A 12,160-nucleotide genomic window follows, 5' to 3' on the forward strand; every position below is an offset into this window, starting at 1 on the left:
ACCTCTAAACTCACGTAATATGCCTGAACATATTTTTTTACTTAGTTTACTATGGTGGGTATAAGATTGAATATATGGTAGTTTGTTTTTACTCCCTCTTATAGAATTTACTTTCTGAAATACTAGCAGACTTTAAAATAAGATGTTCTTATATCGTATTTACTGATTCTCCATTAAACTCTTAATCCTTAGCTATCCAATATGTACATATCTAAAAGAAATATATAAATTTATTGTAAATTGGTTTATATGTTAAAATCACAGATTATTTATATAATGGCAAAAAAAAAAAGGAAGAAAGAAAACAAAAAGAAATGTTGAAAGCAGATATCCCTGCCTATTTCCCAGTCTTAGGAGATGTATCAGTCAGAGATCTTCAGAGCAACAGAACCATTGAACCACAGTTGTTTACACACACACACCCCCACACACACAGATTTTAAGAAATTGAGGAACTGGCTCTCACGACTGTGGGAACCAGCAAGTCTGCAGGCTTGGGCAGGCTGGAAATTTCACCAGGAGTCATTGTTGCAGTCTTGAGTTTGAAGGCAGAATTCCTTCCTCTTCTCTGAACTTTAGTCTTTTATCTTAGATCCTTCAGCTGATTGAAAGAGGCCCACCCACATTTTGGGGGATAATCTGCTTTACTCAAACTCTACAGATTTAGATGTTAATAACATACAAAAAATTTTTATGACATCTGGTCTGGTGTTTGACCAAACAACTGGGTGCCATAGTCTAGCCAGCTTGGATTAACCACTTAAAAATTAATTATCCCAGGTACCGTGTGACCCAGCAGTCTTACTCCTGGATATTTACACTAGAGAAATGAAAACTTTTGTTCACACAGAAATATATACATGAATGTTCATAGCAGCTTTATTTGTAATAGCCTCAAACTGGAAATAACCCATATGTCTTTCAACAAGTGAATGGATAAACAACCTGTGGTATATCCATACAGTGGAGTACTACTCAGTGGTAAAAAGGAGCAGGTCTTGATATATGCAGCAACTTAATTGGATCTCAAGATCCAATTATGTTGAGTTAAAAAAAAAAGCTAATCTCAAATGATTACATATTCCTGAGGTGACAAAACTATAGAGATAGAGAAAAGATTAATGACTGCTGGAGTTTAGAGTTGGGGAGAATAAAGGCTATAAAGGGATAGCCTGAGGCAGTTTTGGGGTAGTGATGGAGCAGTTCTGTGTGCCGACTGTAGTAATAGTTACATGAATCTATAATGCAATAAAATTTATAGAACCACAGTCCCTTTCTTCCTCTAAAAGAGTGAGTTCATGATGGAAAAACTGGTAGAATCCAAATAAGGCCTGTAGTTAACAGAATTGTAACAATGCCAATTTTTTGTTCTTGATAATTGATACCATGGTTACACAAGATGATATCATTCGGGGAACCTGGGTGAAGAATGCAAGAAAACTTCCTATTTTTGCAACTTCTCTGTGAGTCAGACTAATTCGAAATTTTGAGTTTTTTGGAAGGATGGAGGAAGAATTGAAAAATCTACAGATGTTAGAGAAGTCACTGATAAATGGCAAATAGGTGGGCAGAAGGCAGAAGAAATAACAAGAGTATAGCACTGAAGCGGGACTGAACACTGGGGGTGCAGGTCAGTGAGGAAAATGGTGTATTGAAGGTCCATGTGTTGAGAAGCAGTGGGCAGGAAGATTGGATGCAGAGGATAGTGCCCTCTTAGACACCTCAGTTGCTTGCTCAAGGCATTTGAAAACTTACCTTCAGTGGGGAAAATTGGGAGTGTTCATGGGATTCTTCACTAAATGAGGATCCATCACAATTTAAAAAGACATTTATATTTTAGGTTTAATAAATGAATCCAAAAAGGCTATCACTAAGCATCTGATTGTATTGCTTCTACCATCTCCTTTCTATCAATTATTACCAGTTCTTCCTTAAAAGAAAGGTCTCACTGTGTATAAAACTACCTTAGGACTAAAGTATACCAAAACAATAACAAAAAAAGACAAGATCGGGCGCAGTGGCTTGAAAGGCTGTTCTTAATAATGTTGTTACTGAAGTATTATAAAAGCATTCGTTCATTTGTCTTTTTGTTTGTTTTTGTTTTTGTTTTGAGATGGAGTTTCACTCTTGTTGCCCAGGCTGAAGTGCAATGGCATGGTCTTGGCTCACTGCAACCTTCACCTCCCGGGTTCAAGCGATTCTCCTGTCTCAGCCTCCCAAGTAGCTGGGATTACAGGCACACATCACCACGCCCAGCTGATTTTTGTATTTGTAGTAGAGATGTGGTTTCACCATGTTGGCCAGGCTGATCTTGAACTCCTGACCTCAGGTGATCCGCCCGCCTCGGCCTCCCAAAGTGCTGGGATTACAGACATGAGCCACTGCACCTGACCTTGCCTTTTTTTATTATTGTTTTGGTATACTTTAGTCCTAGTTTTATACACAGTGAGACCTTTCTTTTAAGGAAGAACTGGTAATAATTGATAGAAAGGAGATGGTAGAAGCAATACAATCAGATGCTTAGTGATAGCCTTTTTGTATTCATTTATTAAACTAACAAGTAAAAGTGTATAATACAAAGTATACTTGTTCTGTGATTGCTTATGGTTATATTTATATCACACATTTTTCTTTTTTATTTCAGTAGGTTTCTGGGGAACAGATGGTATTTGGTTATATGAATAAGCTCTTTAGTGGTGATTTCTGAGATTTCGGTGCACCTGTACACTATACCCAGTGTGTAAATTTTTTTCCCTCACTCCCATCCCACCCTTTCCCCTGAGTCCCCAAAGTCCATTGTATCATTCTTAAGCCTTTGCATTCTCATAGGTTAGCTTCCACATATGAGTGAGAACATACAGTATCACATGTATTTTTGAAAGATTAAATATACTTGCTGTTTTCTGAATGTTTGTGTCCCTCCAAAATTCATACATTGAAACCTAATGACTAAGATGATAGTATTAAGGAATGGATCCTTTGTGGGATGATTAAGTCATGAGAGCAGAACCCTCATGAGTGGGATTAGAGACCCTATGAAAGGGGCCTAAGACTCTACTAAAAATACAAAAGAATTGGCTGGGTATGGTGGCACATGCCTGTGGTCCTAGCTACTCAGGTGGTTGAGGCATAAGAATTGTTTTAGCCTGGGAGGTGGAGGTTGCAGTGAGCTGAGATCACGCCACTGCACTCCAGCCAGGGCGACAGCCCAAGACTCTGTTTCGGGGGGAAAAGAGGCGTAAGAGAGCTACCTAGCCCTTATTGCCCTTCTGCCATGTGAGGACACAGAGAAGCCTCCATCTATGAGGAACAGGTGCTCACCAGACACCAAATCTGCTGGCACATTGGTCTTTGGCTTCCAAGCTAACAGAATTGTAAGCAATAAATTTCTATTATTTCTTAATTACCCAGTCTAAGGTATTTTATTATAGCAGCCCAAATGGACTACAGCAATACCATTCAACTATCACAAACTTTACCTGTTTTAAGACATAGTTGCAAAATGGTTATTTTTAAAAAAGAAAATGAGAATCATAATAACCTTGAATTTCGTTAGAAGATATTTTTATGAGTTTGTGATATTTGGGGGGCTATATTCCAGTAAACAAGTCTGCCTGCTTCCTTCCGATTGGAAGCTGTAACACATGCTCATTCTTGTACATCACAAAAAGCATGAAGAAGAATAAAACATACACATTCTATGATTCTACCTAGATGTAAGGACTGTACAATTTTGTGTGTTCTTCTAAACATTTTTAAGGCATATAAATACATGTTGTTTGGTTTTGATTTTAGGCTGGAGTTGATAATTCTCTTACTTCCGCTTCTCAGTTTCTTTACTTACTCATATTCCTATGCCTAAATTTAATTTGCACATGGGAGGCTATGTAAAATGATGCTTCCTGATGGGGCATTAAGAAAACACTGATCAATTCATCTTCCTTGTGTTTGTCCCTATAAGATGCTGAGGTGAGCAAGAATGCCTGCATTTAGTGTTCATGGGCATTTCCACCCTCCAGTATTGGCCAACAGCAATATTGTGCTTATCATATCCTGGAATTCCTCACTTCTTCAGTCAAAACAAAGTGTTCTCACTACAGAAGAGGTTCTGATTAAATATGCGTGCTTAATGATGGAAGTGGTTTTCCGTGAGAACTCAGCAAAAACTAATACATCAATAGTCATGTGGGTTACTGCAGGGAAACAGAAACAGAGTATTAAAGGGGACAGAATTAGCCAGGATGTGACTCAAGTCAGGATGGGGTCTACAGCATCATTAGCTCCTATCCATTTTGAAAAGAGGAAGGATAACTGATAGGTATTAGAACTGGGCACTAGGCACTACAGAACACTGTAGACTTTTCTTCATTATTCACAGTAGATTTAAATCACGATCAGAGACATTGCTATATCCACACCATATTTGTTTGCTAAATTTATGATTTAATTATTTGCACATCTCTTTTCTGGGATGAAGGAATGAAGACTGCTCATTTTGTTTCTTTTGTTTAATACTTAAGTTCTGGGGTACGTGTGCAGAACATGCAGTTTTGTTACATAGGTATACATGTGCCATGGTGGTTTGCTGCACCCATCAACCTGTGACCTACATTAGGTATTTCTCCTAATGCTATCCCTCCCCTAGCCCCCCACTCCCACTTACGAGTAAGAATATGCGGTGTTTGGTTTTCTGTTCTTGTGATAATTTGCTGAGAATGATGGTTTCCAGCTTCATCCATGTCCCTGCAAAGGACATGAACTCATTTTGTTTCTTATGTGGGTGTTCATTTGGTATTAGCAATTTATAATCCTGTACAATGGGCATGATTGGTATTTTTTTGGCTGCCCAGCACCTTTTGAACACCTTACTATAATCTGGGGGAATTTCCAACCTTACGAGAACCATCCTCCCACAATAGAACTCAGAGAACTAATCTGCTTTGCACCTAGGGCACAAGAATGTAACCTAGATTCCACCAACAAACCTAAGTTCTGAAATGAGCAATTTGAGGAGAGAGGCTCTGCTTAGATTCCAGGTTTGCTAGCCAGAGTGGTGGTAGTGGCATCTGGCTCTTAGGGGTGGTCGTGTTTACAGTGTTGAATTCTTGGTGCAGCTGAAAACAGTGACAGTTTTCTCATTAAGCCTATTTTGTGCTGGATTGGGGATTGTTCCTAGAAGCTTAGTATTGAGCCTCATTCTTAATATCCTTTTAATAAACTCCTTTCCTGTATGATTACTCAGAACCAGCTGCTGTTGCTTATGACTAAGTAGTTGAAAGATCAATTCTCAGTTAGCACTGTGAAGCATCTCTTTTGGTCTGACTGTGTTTTGGGTGAGGGCAAAGGACAGGGTCTGAGCTCAAAAGTTGAATAATGTCATTTCTAGAACGAGACCTGAAAATGTACGCCTACAAGTAAGAAGTGCAGACTGAGTTAAAAATAAAGGTTTTATGAGAAATAGGAGCCCACCATAGGAAAAAGTAACTCCAAGATGAGACGAGGATAGGGATCAAAGTCAGTGAAGTGAATAGAATAATCAGACTCATGCTTGACTGACAAGTTGAAATCCGTGTGATTTTTGTCTTGGCATTAGAAAATTTTATATTGCAATACTATTCTTTGATTCCCACTTCCCTTTGTCATATTTCCAAGATTGTAAATCTTAAAATAGTTTCAAAGAATCAGATTCTTTGTTCACTGTATACAGAATTAACTAAATCAAAATCATGTTTATTGTTTTTAGGATTATATACTGCCATCCACAATTCTATTTAGTTAGTATTAAAATAATAATGCTAATTTTCTAATTGTTTGTGGGCTGTATGCCCAAGAAAGCATTTACAATGAAAAAAATTCTTCCGGGAGCTGTGAACCTAAGAAATCATTATTCAAATACTCTTAGTTTAGTAGACTGATTGGCATATTGAAACATTCACTTACCCTTTATATAGAGAGATACTGGCCCAGTCATTTTGGAATATGGCAGTCAGGAAGCAGTGTTACCTTAACAATATGGCCCTAACTGCTAAATGTGCATGTCTTTCTTGAGATTCAGATGGTTCTGATGGTTAAAGCCCCTCTCCTAGATATGTAACTGAAAGTTTTCTCTTTAGATTTTTATATTAGATAAAAAAAGCTTCCATTTATCAAGGGTCAACTGGGTGCAGTCATTGTTTGGATGCTTTACATAATTTATCTTTGAGCCGTACACACCCCAGCCAGCCAGGTTGTTACACCTGTCTTTAAAAAAAATAATAAACTGGCAAGGCACGGTGGCTCATGCCTGTAATCTCAGCACTTTGGGAGGCCGAGGTGGGCGGATCACGAGGTCAAGAGATCAAGACCAACCTGGCCAACATGGTGTAACTCCATCTTTACTAAAAATACAAAAATTAGCTGGGCATGGTGGCGTGCGCCTGTAGTCCCAGCTACTCTGGAGGCTGAGGCAGGAGAATCGCTTGAACCCAGGGTACAGAGGTTGCAGTGAGCCAAGTGCACCACTGCACTCCACCCTGGGAGGCTGAGCAAGACTCCGTCTCAAAATAAATAAATAAATAAACCAAACAAACAAATGAACTAAGGCTCGAGAGGTTACATGACTTGCTCCTGGCTATCCAGGTTTATTTTAAGTTGATGTTTCAGAGCAATTTTGTAACCTAAGGTACTTTTCTTAGGAATTTTAATAGTTACCTATTCCCAACCTCATCTCAGTGTCTAAGTAGAATGGTCCTGTGGTGCATCCTAGTTTCTATCAACCCTCAGCCTCTGGCCCAGCTCTGTGGCTTGATTTCACAGGCTTTTAGCAACTGGCAGTAACTACTAAGAATCACTTCATTTCATTGCCTATTGGTGATGTAATTTCTCAGATTTGGGCTTTACTTTCTGTAGTTCTTATTCTTCCTACTTGGCCAAAACAGCAAATGAGTAAGAGAATGCCATGTGGAAAATTTAAACCCTCCCTCCGTAGTTTCTCAACAATTGCAGTTATCTCTACTATTTTCTTTTAGGAAGGAAGAATAAGTTAAACTTTTCTTCTCAGGTTGAGGGATGCCAGGCCTGATTTGCAGTTACTTTAGCGGCCTTAGTTTATTTGTGTGCTGTAACTGTCAATGAAGTACCTCAGATGGTCCTGGGCTGTCTTCTTAAAAGCGCAGAATGATTTGAATAAAGTGTAGTGGGATACGCGAACAAAATTCAAACTGGTTTTGTGATAAAGGCATACATTCTGAGCCAATGCCAGAGAAAAGAACCATCTCAAACTTATTTGAACCCCATGGTACTATTTTTGGAACAAATCTCGTGTTCGAATAAATCACTGCCCCATCAGCATTCAGAGGGTCTACTGCACTTCCATAATGAATCACATATTCAAAGTCAGACACGAAAGGAATCATTGTAAAGGGTTTTTGACATTTTAGGCTACAAAGAAATCCTGGTTTTGAAATTTTTCTTTCTTCACCCTCTTACAGTATTCCTGATTGCTGGGAAGTTTGGAAGGGGTAGGAGAGGAACATGAGAAAACAATGAACTCACCTAAGACGCATAGGAGCCATAAAGAGGGGACAGTATCTAAATTAAGATTTTAAGCCATTGTACATCTAGTAGGATAGATACGTGTATGGGTGTGTGTACTATTTTGTGACAAATAACAGGCAAGCTGCTGCTGCTGTGGTGAATGAATGGGAAAGGTAAACTGAGGGGTGCTTACTTTCCCTATGCATTGCAATCATTATTAAGCTTTAATCGAGTCAAACGACTCGTGTGTTTCACCCAAAACAACAATCTTCAGTTTATAAGATCTGACTTAGAACCGGGATGAGAACAGAGACATAGAAGTTTGTATCTGTAGTTATTTAAGTGGTAACCCATCACTTGGGAAGCTTTTGTTCATTGCAAAAAGTTTGTTTTAATGAGTCCATATAATACACAGAAATTTCCATAATTTACCAAATGATTTATAATTTAAACTGCATCTGTATATCCTTTGAGATGATCTATTAAAATGAATGAATAGCTCAAGTTATGTTTAAGGCATAGGTCATAAGTTTATTTAAGAATTAGTCATAAGAGTATTTATTAGGAGGGATGGTATTTGACTCAAATACTTTGAAAACCTAGAAGTCATAGAAGAAAGATAAAGTGATTTTAAAAGGTATTTGGGGGAGAAAAGCATCTGCATATAAAGTCTTCTCTCTCTCTCTCTTTTTTTCTTTGGTAGAAACAGGGTCTTGCCATGTTGCCCAGGCTGGTCTTGAACTCCTGGGCTCAAGCAATCCTCCAGCCTCCGCCTCCCAAAGTGTGGGGGTTATAGGCACGAGCCACCATGCCCAGCCTACATATAACTCTTGGGTACAGGTATACCTCCTTTTATTGCACTTTGCTTTATTTTGCTTTGTAGATATTGTAAGTTTTTTCCTAAATTGAAGGTTTGTGTCAACCGTGCTTCAAGCAATTCTCTCAGCACCGTTTTTTCCAACAGCTTGTGCTAACTTTGTGTCTCTGTGCCACATTTTGGTATGTCTCACAATATTTCACATGTTTTCACTATTATATTTATTATGGTGATCTGTGATCAATGATCTTTGAGGTTACTATTATAATTGTTTTGAGATGCCACGGACTATGCCCATATGAGATGGTGAACTTAATTGGTAAATGGTATGTGTTCTGACTGTTCCCCCACCAGCCATTCATCTCCCTCTCTCTGTCTGTCTTTCTTCCAGCCTCCCTATTGCCTGACTCACAACAATATTGACATTGACTTAGAGGCCTACAAAGGCCTCTAAGTGTTCAAGTGAGAGGAGGGGCTGCATGTCTCTCACTTTTTGTCAAAAGCTAGAAATGGGCAGGCATGGCGGCACACGCCTGTAATCTAGCAATTTGTGAGGCTGAGGTGGGTGGATTGCTTGACCTCAGGAGTTCAAGACTAGCCTGGGCAACATGGTGAAACCCTGCCTCTACAAAAATACAAAAGATTATCCAGGTGTGGTGGTGCGTACCTGTAGACCTAGCTACCAGGGAGGCTGAAGTGGGAGGATTGCTTGAGTCCAAGGGGCGGAGGTTGCAGTGAGCTGAGATCACACTACTGCACTCCAGCCTGGGTGGCAGAGTAAGACCCTGTCTCTAGAAATGATTAAGCTTAGTAAGGAAGGCGTGTCAAAAGCCAAGGCAGGCTGAAAGCTGGGTCTCTTGTACCATTGGTCATGTTGTGAATGCAAAAGAGGTTATTGAGGGAAATTAAAAGTGCTACTCCAGTGAACACACAAATGATAAGAAAGTGAAACAGCCTTATTGCTGATATGAAGAAAGTTTGAGTGGTCTAGATAGAGTTAGCCAGGTGTGGTGGTGTGTACCCATAGACCTAGCTACTAGGGATGCTGAAGTGGGAGGATTGCTTGAGCCCAGGGTGCAAAGGTTGCAGTGAGCTGAGATCACACCACTGCACTCCAGCCTGAGCGACAGAGTAAGACCCTGTCTCTAGAAATGATTAAGCTTAGTAAGGAAGGCATGTCAAAAGCCGGCAGGCTGAAAGCTGGGTCTCTTATACCGTTGGGTCATGTTGTGAATGCAAAAGAGAAGTTATTGAGGGAAATTAAAAGTGCTACTCCAATGAACACACAAATGATAAGAAAGTGAAACAACCTTATTGCTGATATGAAGAAAGTTTGAGTGGTCTAGATAGACGATCAAACCAACCATAACATTCTCTTAAGCTAAAGTCTAATCCAGAGCAAAGCCCTAACTCTGTTCAATTCTGTGAAGGCTGAGAGAGATGAGCAAGCTGCAGAAGAAAAGTTTGAAGCTAGCAGAGGTTGATTCATGAGGTTTAAGGAAAGAAGCCATCTCCATAACATAAAAGTGCAGGGTGAAGCAGCAAATGCTGATGAAGAAATTGCAGCAATTATCCAGAAGGTCTAAGACCATCGATGAAGGCGCCTATGCTAAACAACAGATTTTCAATATAGATGAAACAGCCTTCTATTGAGAGAAGATGCCATCTCGGACTTTTGTTTAAATGGCAACAAAGGATTTTGAGTATTACATAAACTTAGTTGCTAAGGCAGCCAGCAGGGTTTGAGAGGATTGACTCCAATTTGAAAAGCAGTTCTGTTGTGGGTAAAATGCTCATGCTACAGAGAATCTTTTGTGGAAGGAAGAATCAACCAATACAGCAAACTTTATTGCTGCCTTCCTTGAAGAAATTGCCATGGGCATCCCAACCTTCACCAACCACCACCTTGATCAGGCAGCAACCATCAACATTGGAGTCAAGACCTTTCACCAGCAAAAAAAAATTACGACTCCCTGAAGTCTCAGACGATCGTTAGCATTTTGTAGCAATAAAGTATTTTAAAATCAAGGTATGTACACTTTTTCAGACATGATACTATTGCATACTTAAGAGACCACAGCATAAAAATAACTTTTAGATGCACTGGGAAACCAAACAATTTGTGTGACTCATTTTATTGTGCTATTTGCTTTATTGCACTTTTTCCCTTATTGCAGTAGACTTTGTCATGTGAAATAATTAACTCTCTGGCTTATATTATAAATTCTATGTTAGTGATGTTTAGGAATGTACTTACTATAGAATATACTGTTATAAGAGTAGAGAAATAACAATACCTTGCTTAATAAACTATTAAGGTGAACTTATTTTACATTTTTACTTCTCAGTGAGAATACATCTGATAATTTAGGGAATTTAGTGATTATGTAAAAGCATTTTATTGTTTTTTCCTTAGTAGTGCATTTTTTAAAAAGACATGTTTTACATTGTTGGTATCTTGGATTCCAGAAAATATAGAAATCTTCTTTTAAATAGACTTACCGATAAATGATACTAATGATAACACATAGGAAGATACTAGAACCTCTATCAATAGTCAAAATATCAAGCCAAAGATATTAGTTACAGAGTACTGTGACATTTTCAACACTATTATCAATTTTGTTCCTCTCTTTTATGATTGAGTGATACTCCATCTAAAAATGGGGGAAGACATTAATCCTCATTATCTAGACTTAAATGAAAGTCTTGACAAGTTCCAACATATTTTTTCTATAAGATTTTTAGAAAAATAAATTGGTACATCTTTCAAGATATTACACAGAGCTCTGTTAATAACCTGAGGATGGTTTTCTGAAGATGATATTGTTAGCTTGGAACAATATTGCCTTTTATTTAGTAAACAATGAAAAACATACAAAGGATATTGATACATGACATCAGTATGGGAGAAATTGATGGCATCAAGAGAATAAAAGAATCTATGGAAATTCGCTGCAGAAGGGTTGGTAAAAAATCTAACTATATGGTATGTTGAACTCTATAGTTGTTTACATAAAGAATTTGGACTGGACACTGACCCAGCAGGAAAAAATAATCTGGTCAGTACACTTATTTATGTCAAGGATATGTTGATCTTGTAAGAGTTAACATTACTTTGGGGGCATATAAATATTGAGAAATCATTCTAATATTACACTGTGGAGAAATTCAGTGAAAATGGTTAAAAAAAGAGACTTCAGGAAAATTAAAATAAGTTGAAATTGTTTGATTTGGACAGAAGAATCAAAAGATTAGGAGTTACAAGGAGAAGAGGCACAGCTGTTCTCTATTTCTGTGAAAACAGAGTAAAAATAAATGCATATTCATGAGAATGGAAAATATGCAGGTTGGTTATTGGAACAGTACCAGAAAGAAGAAGGGGCATCTTACCTTGGAAATTTTGAATGCAATATATAATTGCATCTGATAAAAACTGTATGTACTCATTCGATACGTATGCATTGAATGTCTTCCATAGAAAAGCCTAATATTAAGTGTTGATTCCTGTTTGAATATAAGAAACTAAACCAGGGACTTGATAGAAGGTGTCCATCATAGTTCTGTGACTTTTATGAACATAGTGGGCTAAGTGAGACTTCTTGAGAAATGGAAAATCAATTTCATACCCTTTCAGTAGGTAATATACCAAGATGTTTCTATATATTTATATATATATGTTTATGTATATTTACATATATATTTTTATATATATATATAGAGAGAGAGAGACATGAATAGAATGGCTCTATAGAGTTAGTCACCCTTTGGTATCAATTAAGCTGCCCATATCTAAATGTCTTTTGACCATTCCTTAAGAAATGTCAA

At 38.1% G+C, this 12,160-nt stretch overlaps 1 protein-coding gene across 16 annotated transcripts in view, besides 1 other annotated feature; it reads left to right on the forward strand.

The window, feature by feature from the left end:
- Positions 1-12,160, forward strand: part of CDKAL1 (CDKAL1 threonylcarbamoyladenosine tRNA methylthiotransferase) — a 697,948-nt gene that overhangs the window by 380,431 nt on the left and 305,357 nt on the right. The window lies entirely within an intron of this gene.
- Positions 4,874-4,923: an enhancer, noted in NCBI's record as "active region_24134". NCBI's record gives its function as "activates an Ori minimal core promoter by ATAC-STARR-seq in GM12878 lymphoblastoid cells {active_cell/tissue: GM12878}" and the evidence as "EXISTENCE:reporter gene assay evidence [ECO:0000049][PMID:35858748]".

This window comes from Homo sapiens, chromosome 6 (genome assembly GCF_000001405.40).
Source record: "Homo sapiens chromosome 6, GRCh38.p14 Primary Assembly".
Lineage (NCBI taxonomy): Eukaryota > Metazoa > Chordata > Mammalia > Primates > Hominidae > Homo > Homo sapiens.